At 46.6% G+C, this 15,481-nt stretch overlaps 1 long non-coding RNA gene across 1 annotated transcript in view, besides 3 other annotated features; it reads right to left on the bottom strand.

Moving 5' to 3' along the window:
- The window catches only part of MIATNB (MIAT neighbor), a 108,051-nt gene that overhangs the window by 24,119 nt on the left and 68,451 nt on the right, over positions 1 to 15,481 (bottom strand). The window lies entirely within an intron of this gene.
- Positions 2,767 to 3,764: an enhancer, noted in NCBI's record as "H3K27ac-H3K4me1 hESC enhancer chr22:27148974-27149971 (GRCh37/hg19 assembly coordinates)". NCBI's record gives its function as "activates a minimal SCP1, AML or CMV promoter by ChIP-STARR-seq in primed H9 embryonic stem cells {active_cell/tissue: H9 hESC(primed)}" and the evidence as "EXISTENCE:reporter gene assay evidence [ECO:0000049][PMID:30033119]".
- Positions 3,765 to 4,763: an enhancer, noted in NCBI's record as "H3K27ac-H3K4me1 hESC enhancer chr22:27147975-27148973 (GRCh37/hg19 assembly coordinates)". NCBI's record gives its function as "activates a minimal SCP1, AML or CMV promoter by ChIP-STARR-seq in primed H9 embryonic stem cells {active_cell/tissue: H9 hESC(primed)}" and the evidence as "EXISTENCE:reporter gene assay evidence [ECO:0000049][PMID:30033119]".
- Positions 4,764 to 5,761: an enhancer, noted in NCBI's record as "OCT4-NANOG-H3K27ac-H3K4me1 hESC enhancer chr22:27146977-27147974 (GRCh37/hg19 assembly coordinates)". NCBI's record gives its function as "activates a minimal SCP1, AML or CMV promoter by ChIP-STARR-seq in primed H9 embryonic stem cells {active_cell/tissue: H9 hESC(primed)}" and the evidence as "EXISTENCE:reporter gene assay evidence [ECO:0000049][PMID:30033119]".

Here is a 15,481-nt window from a genome sequence, read left to right as displayed (position 1 = left end):
CTACCAGGCGGGCACAGAGGGCGCAGGTGGGCCCCCCGCGACTTGCCTTTAGTGGGAAGCTCAAGATACTCTGTGTATAACACTTAGCACAGAGCCTGGTGCGTCGTAGGCCCTCAAGAAATCCAGATCATAATTACAACCACCTTTATTTTCAAGGAAAAAAAAAAAACAGGCTAAATGAGGTTCAGAAACGGGGTGAGGGCCAGGCGCGGTGGCTCGCGCCTTGTAATCTCAACAATTTGGGAGGCCAAGGCGGACGAATCACACCTGAGGTCAGGAGTTCGAGACCAGCCTGGCCAGCATGGTGAAATCTCATCTCTATTAAAATACAAAAATTAGCCGGGCTTGGTGGCGGGCGCCTGCAATCCCAGCTACTTGGGAGGCTGAGGCAGGAGAATCGCTTGAACCCGGGAGGCGGAGGTTCCAGTGAGCCGAGATTATGCCACTGCACTCTAGCCTGGGCGACACAGCCAGACTTCATCTTAAAGAAAAAAAGAAAGAAAGAAAAGAAACGAAAGGAAATGGGGTGAGGTTACCAAAAACTGGGTAGCAAATAATTTTTTAGTATATCAAAGATCTCTAGGGGATAGATTTATCTTTTTTAAAAAAAATCACTCATTATTCATCTGAAATTCACTTTTAACTGGGAATGCTGTGTTTTTGCGCTTGTGTTTGCAAACCTGGCGACCCGATAACTGGGTGCCTTTGGACACAGCATTCCACCTCTCTGCTTCTGTAAAATAAGAGAAGCAAGACTCTATCCCTACACGTTTACAACAATAACTACAGGACTGTTGTGCAGATTAAGTGAGAGGATACAGGTAGTGAATATAAAGCCGGTCAGGGTTAAAGTTGCCATGTCCCTGATCACACCTATTTGCAGAGTTTAGGAAAGAAAAGGAGTCCAATAGCCACTAAGTTTAATGTGACTCCAGGCCTTTGTATGCTCTGTGTCCTGCTCCTGGATGACCCTCCCCTCTCTAATGACTCCTGAAGGTTCTCTCTGACGCTCTTCTTCCCAAATCGTAATCCCAACACACATTTCCTTGGAGCTCTCATCTATTTCATCTCAGACCCCTGCCTCTACCTGTCTTCTACCTGCAGGGAGAGGCAGCGTATTACTCCTTACCTGGCCTGCCTGGCACATACGAGACATTCAACTAACATTTGTGGAATGGGTGAATGTAGACATGGCTCAAGGCTCAGAGAAGAATACCTTATATCATGTGGCGTGGCAATGCCAGAAGGTAAGACCATGAGGGTGGGCTCTGCCCTGTTCCCCTGCTATAGCCCCAGCATCTAGTAGGCACCTAACAAAATTGGTTTACTTTAATGCAAACTGCTAACCTGACTGAGCTCTGTGTCTAATGCGCTGTGCCAAACATTTAATTATTTAAAACTTTTTATTTCCATAGGTTATTGGGGAACAGGTGGTGTTTGGTAACATGAGTAAGTTCTTTAGTGGTGAGCTGTGAGATTTTGATGCACCCATCACCCAAGCAGTATACACTGCACCCAATTTGTAGTCTTTTTTTTTTTTTTTTTTGAGACAGAGTCTCACTGTCGCCAGGCTGGAGTGCAGTGGCACCATCTCGGCTCACTACAACATCCGCGTCCCGGGTTCAAGTGATTCTCCTGCCTCAGCCTCCCAAGTACCTGGGACTGCAGGTGTGCACCACCACCCCCAGCTAATTTTTGTATGTTTAGTAGAGACGGGGTTTCACCATCTTAGCCAGATGGTCTCAATCTCTTGACCTCGTGATCCACCTGCCTCGGCCTCCCAAAGTGCTGGGATTACAGGCATGAGCCACTGCACCCGGCCCAATTTGTAGTCTTTTATCCCTCACCTCCCTCCCACCCTTTCCCGCTGAGTCTCCAAACTCCACGGTGTCATCCTTATGCTTCTGCATCCTCATAGCTTAGCTCCCACTTATGAGTGAGAACATACGACGTCATGCCAAATACTTTAAATATTTTCTCAACTATTAACTTTTCACAATGATGCAGGGAAGTGGTTACTATTATTGTGCCCACTGTACAGATAAGGAAGCTAAGGCACAGCAAGCTGGAGCCTTTGCCCAAGATGATGTAGATGTATGTGGAGGAATCGCACCTGAACCACAGCAGCTGGATCCGGTGCCCACCCTGAAGTTACTCAAGGACTTCAGAGACAGACCTTGACATGAACACGGTTTCCAACCTTCTCCAGTGAATGACCTCAGCAAATCTCTTCTCTCTGAGTTCCAATTCCCTCCATTCCTAAAGTGGAGAGAATGAAATTTCCAACCACACAAGATGGTGGTAAAGAACAGAAACTGTTCATGGAAAATGCACACAGCAGGTGCTCAATAACTGATGGTCTTCCTGGAAAATGCACACAGCAGGTGCTCAATAACTGATGGTCTTCCTGGTGATCACCGAAGCCCTGAGAAAGCAGCTTCTTAGGGCCACCATTTGCAAAACAGCACTTTGTGGTTGCTAATTCCTCATAGAGAGAAAAATAGCTGGAGAGATTTCCATTAAGATTTTCTCCAGAAATCAGTGCCCCTGGCAAGCTGCAGGGCTGAGGAGTGCCTCTAAGGTACCTGGAGTTCCAGTCCACAGGTGGAGGCTGGGGGAAAGGGAGGGAGGAGTAAGGCAGGGATGTCTTCAGGGCCCCGGCTGAGTCCCCTCCCCACCTCCACGCAAAGGACAGAGGAAGTGGGATGAAATCGGGGGCACTTTGGGGGCTTGAGGCACAGTGGGGTGACATTCTGTCTGAATCAGTATTCCTTTTGCCCTGATCCTGCACCACGACCAGCCAATTTCTGTCAATTTACTCTTCCTACCTAAAATTTCACTGGTTTCTTACCTCATTCATTCTTTATTCATGCATTTATTCAATAAATTTCAGTTGGGTATCTGCTATGTGCCGGCACCATTCATTCTTGGCACTAAGGATCCAGTGATAAACAGACTTGGTTTTTGCCCTTCATGGGGCTCACAGACTAAGGTGGGGGCAGGCAGGGGGTATGGAACAGACACTAAAGATATAATAATTAGATCGGAGTGACAGGAAAGCCGAGGGGGCTGCGAGCACTCAGGAGATCAAGGAAGTCTTCCTGGAGGAGGTGACATTTAGGTGGAGATGAGGAGAATGAGTGGGGGGTGAGTCATCCAGGGGAGTGGGGCAGAACACTCCAGAGAGAAGGGGTTGGTAGGCAAAGGTCCCAGAGTGAGACTGAGGACCTGCAGGGGATGAAGTGAGCATGTGCCAGCACAGGGAGAGATGAGGCTGCTGAGGGAAGCAGGGCCAAGGTGGATCTTGAAGCCCTAGTGAGGATTTATGGCTTTTGCAAGGGTATTGGGGAGCCACCGAGGGTTTTATGCAAGTGGAGTGGCATCATCAGATTTCCAGCAGCATTAAATACAAACTCTTCTCCCATCTGCCCCCTCCTGGCTAGTATCGCTCCTCTCATGCCCTCTACTCCCCTTAACCAGGCTCCTCCTGAATCCCCAATGTTACGCTAACCTGGCTACATCTTCCGCCTGGACATGCGCATCTTGGGCTGCACCAGGGCACAACGAAACAAGCCCCAGGTTTGGATCAAACAGACCCAGCTTCAAACCTGGCCTCTTTGGCCTCTGGACCACCTGGATCAGGTCCCTAATGTCTCTGAGCCCCAGTTTGCTCATCTGTAAAATGGAGATCATCACTGTCCACCACTAACAGTGTCCTGAAAGGACCTGGCTCTGACACTTACTGTTTTCTTTCATCTGTTCCAGAAGCATGCCACCTCCTCCAGGCAGCCCCCCACCCTTCACTCCTCCAGCCCTCTGAACACCAGAAGCACTTCCTGTTTGCCCCTGCCCCCGGGTAACATGCATAGAACATAGCTGTTAAGAGGTGCATCCCTCCAGCAATCAGAAACCATTTGGGGTCAGAGCCCAACGGGTCTTTCCCAGCAGATCCTGGGAGTCTGTCTGCCCAGGGACAGGACAACTCCTTAAAGCAGGAGAGAGATGGACAGACAGACAGAAGGGCTCTGGGGAGCTAAGTGAGGTCCCAGGGAGTGTCGAGACTCCATGTGCTCATTTTCTGGGGTGGATCAGGATCTGGGAAATCACTCGGAAAGCTGCACCTCTTAGGCCAGACTGATAAACAGGCTGCCAACTTACAGTGGGGAGCACGATCTCCCGCTGTGACTGCATCCCCCAGATGGTGGCTGAAGGGCTCAGGCCTCAGCAAGTGATGGAATGGGGTGCCTCAGGCAGGAGAGGAACTGCACCCGGCCCCACCCCAGCAGAAGGGTCCCACATGTCCACCATTCCTGCTCTCAGGAAGCCAGGGTTCCCACCCCTACCCCCAACAGTCTCCCACTGACACCTCAGATGCCCACCTTCCTGCATCTCAGCAGTCCTGGGCAGCCAGGAAGAGACGCTGGCTTTTGGGCTTGCATGACACAGGGTTGGGGGGGTGGGTCAGGATAAGTCCTGGGGCTCTGGGGGGCCCTCGGACACAGAATGCAGAGGGCTGGGCAACATAGTGTCCCCCACACTGGTCACCTCTCCCAGGTCTCTTCCTCAAGCACACCTCAGACTCCCCACCCCTCTCTGAGCATCGGTCTCCTCTGCACAATGATGACCCATAATATTCTGAATTAATAATTCCAGTAATGTTGACACCCCCACCCCCACCACCAATGTCAAGAGTCTGGCAGGAACATCAGTAACCATAGCTACCAGCAGCACCCACTTAGCTTCTGGCAAGTTCCATAGAAATTCTACAATCTTTTTGGGTAAAGAGACTGACCAAGGTGAGGGAGTCACTTGACTAAGCCCAGGTTACCACTAAGAAAATACCAAATGAATAATGGCCCCCAGGGAGTTAACACTCACTAGGGGCCCACTACTATTCATTTACCTGAAATGCTCAGCTAATGCTCACAGTCACCTTGTGGATTATTATCCCTATTTTATACAAGAGGAAATTCAGATTCAGGGAGGGAAAGTAACTTGCACAAAGTCACATAGAAAGTTAGAAGAAGGGCTGGGACTCAGACCTAGTTCTCTGGATGTTAAGACTGCTGGCAGAATTTCTAGATGGGGTGAGAAGGAGAGGCAGGATGTCCCACCCAGACCAGCCTCCATCCTGCACCATAAAGACACTTCCTTCCCTCTGCCCAGAAGTGGAGTCATTTCTCTCTTCCCTTTTAAAGGTGGATTTCTCCTCCAGCTCCTCCCTGCTCCTTCCCCCTCCCCCAGCAGCCACCCCGCTTCCCTGAGCTGCCTTCCTCCCCCTCTCTCTCTCACTCTCCAACACAAAGAGTTGTCAAGGTAACCGCATTGCCAAGGACTCTCTCTTTGTCTGGGGCCCTGGGAGGAAATGCATAAGCCAAGTCGCTGCTCACTGACCCCAGATGACCCCCACAGGGAAGGACAGCCCTGGACCATCTTTTCAAGGACTGCTTGCCTCACCCCACCTATTTCAGCCGACTGCACCCTGATAGCAGCTCCAGGTGGCACATTCCAAGTCCCAACGTGCAAGAGGCTGAGGACCTGGAGGAAGTGTCTTGGGGCATAACTTCCTGGAGACACACTGCTAGAAACACTCAGGGAAAGGAAACAGCAAAGAAAGAGCACACTATGTGCTTGGTACTGGGATGGGCATTGCCGATGGTACAGAGAATAACATCCACTATTGTGCCTGACACTGCAAAGCACCTTGGGTGACACTGAGCATAGCACCTACTGAGTGCTTAGGCCTTTGCTAGACACTGACAGGGCACTGAGCACAGCCCCTACTTTGTGCTTCCCTCTGTGCTAAGATGACGGAGAGGTGCTGGCCATGAGATGAGTTTGAGAAGGAATCTCTGAATGGCAGGTGTTTGAGTCAAGCCTTGAAAATCCTGGTTGAATACACAATGAATAGGGTTGAAGACATTGGACAGGGGGAAAATCAATACTCTCGGAGCTAAGCAGTAACTATGGACCCAGCAGGTCAGGCATGTCCCTTGCTTTAAACAGCAAAGTCAGGATTTGACATCAGACTCATCTGATTCCACGTTCCCTTCCCCCCTGTGGTGGTAACTGATGATGTTCCAGGTGATAGAGTCTCCATCAGCCTGAGTCTGTGGATGAGAAGGATGTGGAGCAGAGCCTCCACCAGCTTGGTTGGTGAAGACTTGGTTTTTGCCCTTTGGTTTTTCCCGGAGGCGTACACCGTGCACACAGAGCACAAGCAGCAAATCAATCTTGGCTGCTCTGTGCCATTAAAACCTGAGCCAGGCTGGGCACGGTGGCTCATGCCTATAATCCCAGCACTTTGGGAGGCCAAGGTAGGTGGATCACCTGAGGTCAGGAGTTTGAGACCAACCTGGCCAACATGGTGAAACCCCATCTTTACTAGAATTAAAAAAAAAAAAAATTAGCCAGGCGTGGTGGTGCACACCTGTAGTCCCAGCTACTCGGTAGGCTGAGGCAGGAGAATTGCTTGAACCCGGAAGGTGGAGGTTGCAGTGAGCTGAGATTGTGCCACTGCACTCCAGCCTGGGCGGCAGAGCAAGACTCCATCTAAAAATAAAAAATAAGAAAATAAAAAATAAAAAATAAACCTGAGCCACTAGATTCCTTAAAGAACTAAAAGTAGAGCTACTATTTGATCCAGCAATCCTACTACTGGGTATCTAGCCAGAGGAAAAGAAAGTCATCATACAAAAAAGATATTTGCCCACACATGTTTATAGCAGCACAATTCGCAATTGCAAAAATATGGAACTAGCCCAAATGACCATCAATCAACGAGCGGATAAAGAAAAGGTGATATATAGATATATATACACCATGGAATACTACTCGGCCATAAACAGGAATAAAATCGAAGCATTCACAGCAACCTGGATGGCATTTGAGACCATTATTCTAAGTGAAGTAACTCAGGAATGGGAAACCAAACATTCCACACTTACAAGTGATAGGTTAGCTTTGAGGACACAAAGGGATAAAAATGACAGAATGAATTTTGCGGACTCACGGGAAAGGGTGGGAGGGGGTGAGGGATAAAAGACTACACATTGGGTATAATGTAGACTGCTGGGGTGAGGGGTGCACCAAAATCTCAGAAATCACCATTAAAAACTTATTCATGTAACCAAACACCATCTGCTCCCCAAAAACCAATTGAAATAAAAAATAAAATTAATAAATTAATAAAAAAAATTTTTAAAAACCTGAGTCACTGTAACTGAGAATTTAGGAGGTATTAGTTATATTGCAGCATATCACAGTCCACTCTGACTGTTACATCATCAGACTGAACCAAAATCCTGCGGCTGGCCCTCCTTGAGTCTCATCTCTGAATCAATCACTGTAGGCTGAGGGCAGCAGTACTCGATTGGCTCAGACCTGGTTCACTGGCCATGCCTACCTCCAGTGAGGGAGGAGAAGGAGTCACCTCTACCCATGTTGTTGGGCTTGGCATGGCCAAGGGTGGCTTTTCAAGGAAGATGGCATGCTGTTACCAGAAAGCGGGGCAGTTGCTGAAAAGGAGATACGAACACGTGTCCACTTTGAGGGCCTCATAGCCAAATGCTGTGCAAGAGGTTCCTACGCTGAATGGGAGACAAGTTCCCAGGCTGCTGCTGCTTCTCACAAGTCTCTGAAATTTGCCTGGAAAAAGATTCTATTGATTTTTTCTGGGTAACGTGGCTTCTTCCCTCAAAGAAGTCCTTTGGTTGCCGGGAGGCCTGCCAGGCAAGGGGTTGGCTTTCCCCAGGAAGGGTGGAGAAGACTAGGCTGGGGTAGGGAAATCAAGGGGAGAAGGAATGGCCAGCTGCCCCTAGCTGCCCAGGGAGAGGGAGGAGGCCAAGCTTGCTCAGAGCAGTAGTTGGAGACTAGCACGGACACCCCTGTGATCCTTTTTTCTAAAACCCAGATCTTTTGCCTTCACTTCTCTCCTTAAAAACCTTACATGGCTCCTTGCAAACTAAAATCAGCGTTGATTTCTATGCCAGGCACTGAACAACGTATTCCATTTACATTGTTATCCCCCCTAAAACTTCATAAGCAGCTATTAGAGTTTAGAGTTTTAACTCGTGAAAAATATGAGCAAATGAATGCTCAGAATCACAAGTGGCAGAACCAAGGTCACAGAACTCAAAACAGAGCTCCTAGTCTTCACCCACCCATTCAACTTGCCTTAAAAAAAAAAAAAGCTATAGGCCAGGCACAATGGCTCATGCCTGTAATCCCAGCACTTTGGGAGGCCGAGGTGGACAGATCACGAGGTCAGGAGTTCGAGACCAGACTGTCCTATATGGTGAAACCCCGTCTCTACCAAAAAATACAAAAATTAGGTGGGCGTGGTGGTGCTCCCCTATAGTCCCGGCTACTTGGGAGGCTGAGGCAGGAGAATCACTTGAACCTGAGAGGCAGAGGTTGCAGTGAGCCGAGATTGCGCCACTGCACTCCAGTCTGGCCAACAGAGTGAGATTCCATCTCAAAAAACAAAAAAGCTATAAAAATTGAAAAAACAATCTGATGAATACAAAGAGAAATAAAAGAGATAATTAACCTTTACTTGCCACACTCATTCCAGCTACTCTCCCAAGGAAGCACCATTAACTCTTTGTTGAACATCCATCCTGACCTCTCTCTATGGTCAAATAATATGTTTGAGCATTTATTGAGAGCCAAGAATGTGCCAGGGCATCGGAGGTTATTTTCACAGAGAGTGCTTCTCAGGGATGTACAAATTCCCATGCAATTCCATCTATTTTTTTAATGACCTTAACTAGTCAGAGCACATGGCTGAAGAAACTGACAAGTAAACATTTATTGCTAAAACCCAATAGATTAGGTCCCTTTGCAGCTCCAAATTTCCCAACAATCCACACTTCACCTAGAGGAAAGCCAAAGTCCCTGCATCCACCCAGAGGCCCTACAGAATCTGGTCCCTTGGTCACCTCTCCAACTTGGACCTCACCATCTGCCACCCTCTCCCTTCACTTCCTCCAGTAATATCTCACTTTTTTTCAAAAGGCCCCCAGCACGTCCTGCCTCAGAGCCTTTGCACCTGCTGATCCCTGTCCCTGAAACACCCTTCTCCCAGATACCCCCACGGCTCACATCCTCGCCTCCTTTGAAGTCTTTGCTCAAATGTCTCTTTTCCTTAACTAAACTGGACTCTCCCCATCCCCAACAAACACACGAAACCCATTTTACCTTCTTTGTTTCCTCATAGCATCTATTACTGTCCAACATAGTATACAAACCTTGTTTTATCATCTTCCACCACTCACTAGGATGTAGCTTCAGTGAAGTGAGGAATGTGTGTCTATTTTGTTCCCAGCTAAATCCCCAAGGCCTTAGAACAATGCCTGGCATACAGTGGGTGCTTCATAAATGTTTGTTGAATGACTCCATTAATTTAAAGAAGCCATAGTTCAGGCAGCAACATGGCTCAGACAAGATTGAATACTTTTTAGAGCATGTGAACCTCTTTCTTTTTGGAGCCGGCATCCAGCACTGTGAAACTTGAAAAGATCAGCATGCCAGAAGGAATGCAGGGGTTAGGGGAGCAGTCAAAGGGGACTTTCTCCCAAAGTCATTTTCTGCAGATCCCCTTTCCCAGTTCAGCCCAGGGTTGAGGAGTGACATCCCAAATCAGAGGGACCGCAAATCAGATATCCTCAACCCGTCCCTGAGCGATCTCCTTTCCCCTGGATCTACCAGAAACAGGGGTCCTAGAAAGTTGAAAGTCAAAAGCAGGGGTCTTTGGGACCCAGCTTTCGGGGGCAGCTCAGGCTCATCCTGAGGCTGGTGCTGTGGGCTCAGTTCTCCAGGTATGATTTATGCCTATGGCCGAACTTTATTTTCTACTTTTTTGGATTCTGCTCTGAATTTTTTTCTTCTTGGCCTTTTCCTGGGTCAATGCAGTCTTGTTATTTGATTTACTGTTAACAGTATTGACTGCATAGGATTGAGCCAAGAAATGGAAGAAATTGCTTTTTCTCTCTTTCTATCTCCTGTTTGACAACTCAGTCTTAGCACTGGATTTAGCCAAGCTCTGTGAGAGCCAAGGGAGGCAAAGGAAGTGGGAGTGTTGTGGCTTTGCGGCTGGAAGGTGACCCTGGGAGGAAAATGGCAAGGAATTGTCATTGAAAAGGTCCTGTGGCTGTTTTACCTTCTAAATAAGATAAAGATACAGAGAGGGTGTGTTTGAAGTATGGGCTTCAAAGTCAACTAGCCTTGGGTTTAAGCTGTGTGGCTTTGGGCAAGTCACTTAACCTCTCTGAGCCTCAGTTTCCCCATTCCTAAGACAGATGTAATAATCTCCTCCTCACAGGTGGACTTACAGTGCTCATGCATAAGAAACACTTTGAATCAAACCTGGGTCATTCTAGGAGCACAATTTATTGTACCTGTTACTGTCACCACCATCATCACCATCATCATCATCATCCTCACTCTATTATTGTGTCATCTTTGTTTTGTCCAAATAAAGAAACAAGCATTCATTCAATTCCATGGAAAGGACTTGAGAAGCCTAGAGACTTTTAAGTAGCTGTTTATTGTGGTAAAATATAACAAACATAAAATGTATTGTTTTAACCATGTTTAAGTACACAGATCAGTAGCATTAAGTTCATTATTGTCAACTGTCACCACCATCCAGCTCCAGAATTTTTTCATCTTGCCAAACAGAACTTCTGTACACAGTAAACATGAACCCCCCATTTCCTCCTCCTCACAGCCCCAGGCAACCACTATTCTACTGTCCACCTCTATGACCTTGACTGCTCTAGGCACATCCTATGAATGGAATCATCCAGTGTTTGTCCTTTTGTAACTGGTTAATTTCACATAGCATCATGCCTTCAGGGTTTGTCTACATGTAGCACGCATCGGAATTTCATTCCTTTTTATGTCTGAGTAATATTCTACTGTATGGATATGGCACATTTTGTTTATCCATTTATCTGTCGATGGACAATTGAGTGTCTGTCACCTTTTTGCTACTGTGAAATTTGCTACTGTGAATAATGAACGTGGATAATAACACTCCCTCTTCTCCAAAATGAAGATTAAGCTTCAACTATTCCCTAGTGCTCCCACTCAGAGTTTCTCCTCTTGACTGTACATGAAGTCACACCCAGGAAATACCATGATCAGAAACAGGCACTTTCCTGCACTCATGGTGCTCACAGTTGCATTGGGGAACAAATAAATCCACACCCAAAAGGAGACGTTGCTGCCAACTGTGACTATGTGCTATGAAGGGAAAAAAGAGAGGCTTTTGGAAGAGAAGAAAGGTAAAGTCCTGCTTTATCCGGACAGGAAGGATGCCCTTAGAAGGAGCCTCCAGTGTAAAAAGAACTTCCCAGGAAGAAGACAAAAGGCCATCTGAACTATGGCATGGGGTCTTTGCCATTTATTACCCACTGAGCAGGAAGTACATGGCCACAGTGATTTATAGCAGTGTGCTGGGTGCAGCTCATACCAGCCCACAAGAGCTAATCATTAAATTTTCAGGAATTTTATGAGCAGCTTGTGAAATGCAATCATAAAATTAAATTATATAAGCTTACAATTGTATGGAGTACACTAGTTATTAGCATGAATTGTACCTATATGGTTGAAACACATATAATGGTATCTATGCATCTCTCCCCAACTCCACATTCAATGACGTCACACTGGTAGCTTGAAATAAGCCACAATGGGAATATTTACACCAGGGATAATGGCCAGTGCTGCAAATCAGGGTTTGATCATTTTGTTGATTGTCTGGATTTAAGAAAGTGATGTACAGAGTGTTAATAAGACAGGTTAAACTTAAAGGTATTATGTGTCTGTGGCCATTATATTGTGAATGGTACAGACAGCTGAGGAAACATTCTTCTATTATTTAAAAACCATTACAAATGGTCCCCAACTTAGCAATGGTTGGACTTAGAATTTGTCTGAGTTTACAATAGTGCAAAATCAAAAATGCACTTACAATATTCGACCTACAGTATTTTCAACTTACAATAGGTTTATCAGAATGTAAGCTCAACATAAGTGGAAGAGCATCTGTATTCAGTTCAGCAAAGAAATTGTTCACGTCATTGACAACGAATGAAGTACCAACATACGTCTTTGTTGTTTTTGCCTGACTCATTAAGGTAAACAAAAATATCTACCAGCATTCATGTCAGAGCTACCTTCAGAGAGCCGCTTGTTAAACATTTATCAGCACACAACTGAGTCATTACAGTGCCTTTCACATGAAAAATCAAGAACTGTGGCTATAATGGATTTTTTTATTATTTCTAGAAATGGAAAAACTTTTAGAAAGTATTTCTCAGTTAACATTAGTGAGCCATTAGGGTGGTTTGAGGGGGACTCTAAGACAGAGTAACTGAAATTGAGGCTTGTCTAGAAAATTCTCAGATTCGTCATCCTCAGAACAGTAGCTTGAAACACAACTCTGGGCCGGACGTGGTGGCTCACGCCTGTAATCCCAATACTTTGGGAGGCCAAGACAGGTGGATCACCTGAGGTCAGAGGTTTGAGACCAGCCTGGCCAACATGGAGAAACCCCGTCTCTACTAAAAATACCAAAATTAGCTGGGCGTGGTTGTGCACACCTGTAATCCCAGCTACTCGGGAGGCTGAGGCAGGAGAAGCACTTGAACCCTGGAGGCAGAGGTTACAGGGAGCCAAGATCACACCACTGCACTCCAGCCTGGGCAACAGAGCGAGACTCCATCTCAAAAAAAACAAAACAAAACACTACTCTGTTGTGTCCACTCATTCAATTCCATGGAAAGGATCTGAGAAGCCTAGAGACTAAATATTTATTTATTGTGGTAGAATATAACAAACATAAAATGTATTATTTTAACCATATTTAAGTGCACAGTTCGGTAGCAGTAAATTCATTACTGTGATGTGACTGATTGATAGAAGGGGTGATGGGTCGATTGATTCCAGTTCTACTACGAACTTTATGCATAAACTCGGGTAGTTTCCTTTTGCCTCAGTTTCCTCCTCTATAAAATGAAGACAAGATGCTTTCTCTGACTGCGTCTGAAGAGGTCTGGGAATCAGGTACGGGACGAGTGAGTTGGGACTTGCTTGGATGGAATGACAGACACCCAAGGTAAACACGCTTAATGGGGAAAGGAGAGATTAATTGGTTTTCAACATTAGTTTGGATACCGAATAGTTCAAACATTCAAAGGAAAAGTTTTCATGTTTCTCCCTTTATCTGTTCTTTCCTCAACTCATCACAGTGGCCTTAACTGTCTCCTACTCCAGACACACCTTCTCTAATGTGTCTGGTACCCTCCCTACAAACCTCAATGGAAAAAGAGTTTGTGCTGCCAGGTTCAAATACCCATCTCACGGATAAGGCTCTCATTGGCTCTGCTTGGGTCATGTGCTTGCCTCACGGACCAATCACTGTCATCAGAGGTATTGGATGCTGTGATTGGTCAGCCCTGGACCACGTAACTAACCACTTTCTGCAGCCAAGGTGAGCCCGGTCTATTTCTAGGAGAATGGCAATGGGAATGCTCTCTAGGCAGATGAAAGCCAACAGTCCACGTCAGGAGGTGAATGTGTGTTGGAAAGATTAAAGTGACAAGCAGGAAGGATAAGAATGATTAGTCTCAGAATAAAGAGACACGGGTTGCCTGTAGCTTACACACGGACTTAGTCATTTAACAATCTTTTCACAGTGCGTGGTTAATCCTGTCGCTCCATGCTGGAAACCCTGTAAGGTCTTCCTGATCTGGGTGCTGCGCGGAACTCTGAGCTCATTTTGGATCCTCTTCCTATCCTTCAATGCCCCAGTCCCACGGCGCCTTTCTGTTTCAAGACTGTGTCTCTCCCTCTCCTTCTTCAAGGTCTTTTCTTTCTTTCTTTCTTTCCTTTCCTTTTCTTTCTTTCTTTCTTTTTTTTTTTTTTTGAGACGAGGTCTCACTCTGTCGCCCAGGCTGGAGTCTCGGCTCAGTGCAACCTCCATCTCCCGGGTTCAAGCGATTCTCATGCCTCAGCCTCCCGAGTAGCTGGGATTACAAGTGAGTGCGGCAACGCCTGGTTAATGTTTGTAATTTTAATAAAGACAGGGTTTCACCATGTTGGCCAGTCTGGTCTCAAACTCCTGACCTCAAATGATCCGCCCCTGCCTCGGCCCCCCAAAGTGCTGGGATTATAGGCGTGAGCCACTGCCCCTGGCCCCTCAAGGTCTTTTCACAAATGTTTCTTCTCGCCTAGAATGTTCTTCCCCCAAATCTAATCCCAATCAATCTTCTGGTCTGTTTTCCCCATACACCACAGAAACAGCACCGACTTGTTTTTATTTCTCTTGCCCACCAGGGCTCGGCACGGCACATGGCACAAAGTAGACAGTCAACAAATCCTTCTGAGGTGAGTAAATAAATGAGTACGTATCATTCCAACAGTAAAAAGTTGTGAGTTTTCTGCCTTTGGCACACAGATTCACTCATTCTTTCATTCATTCAATATTGCATCATGGGCTGGGAGATATAATAGTGAACAAGAAAGCATTCTTGCCTTCAAGGAGATGCTGGTGGGGGAAGTGGGCAGAGTCATACCAGAGTTGTCACAGAGCCACCATGGGGGGCTGAGGGAGCAGAAAACAAGACTTGGGAAGACAACAAATACTCTGCAGAGAAGGTGAATCCAACATGAAAACTGATAGATTAATAGAAATTAGGTGGATGAAAGCAGGCAAATTGCCATGAGGAGGGGGAATGGAGTGGAGAGTGGGTAATTCTAGGCAGAGGGAACAGTAAGTAGAACTGTTCCCGACTACACGCAGTAAGGGAACTACTGCGTGTAGTCGGGAGCGGGGGGAGAGAGAAGGAGAAGAGAGGAAGGAAGGGAGAGTGAGCATTTGTTGGGGGAGAGTGAGCGGCGAAGATTCAGAGGCTAAGTCAGGAAAGAGGGAGATCCACAAGGCAAACCTGGAACAGCTTTGAAGCCATCATCAGGAGGCTGGGCTCAATCCAATGAGGCCATGAGACCCCAGTGAAGTACATTAAGCAGGGGCATGACATGGCCACATTGTGTATTGGAAAGAAATCTTCTTCATCTGGCCCATCACCTTGGGGACTCGGGCTAAGAATTAATATCAGTTTAAGGGTTTCGATTTAGACAAATTAATGACGCCATAGTAGAAGCAGCTGGGCAAGTCTGACAGTTCTCCACCTTTTAAAGTCAATATAATCATCACTGACTTTTAGACTCCTCACACCATAGACTCCCAGGAGCACAGACTCCTAGAGATAGAGAAACACTGTCTGATAGACCCAGGAAAGTGGAGGCAAGTGCTTCAGTATTGCAGAGAACTATGGGAACCAAAGCTGGGTATGGTGGCAAGAGCCTGTAGCCCCAGCTACTTGGGAGGCTAAAGAAGAAAGAGTGCTTGAGTCCAAAAATTCAAGCCCAGCCTGGGCAACATAGCAAGACCCTAGTCTCAAAAAGAAAA

This window comes from Homo sapiens, chromosome 22 (assembly GCF_000001405.40).
Source record: "Homo sapiens chromosome 22, GRCh38.p14 Primary Assembly".
In the NCBI taxonomy this organism is placed as follows: domain Eukaryota; kingdom Metazoa; phylum Chordata; class Mammalia; order Primates; family Hominidae; genus Homo; species Homo sapiens.
This window is presented reverse-complemented; position numbering and strand designations above follow the sequence as displayed.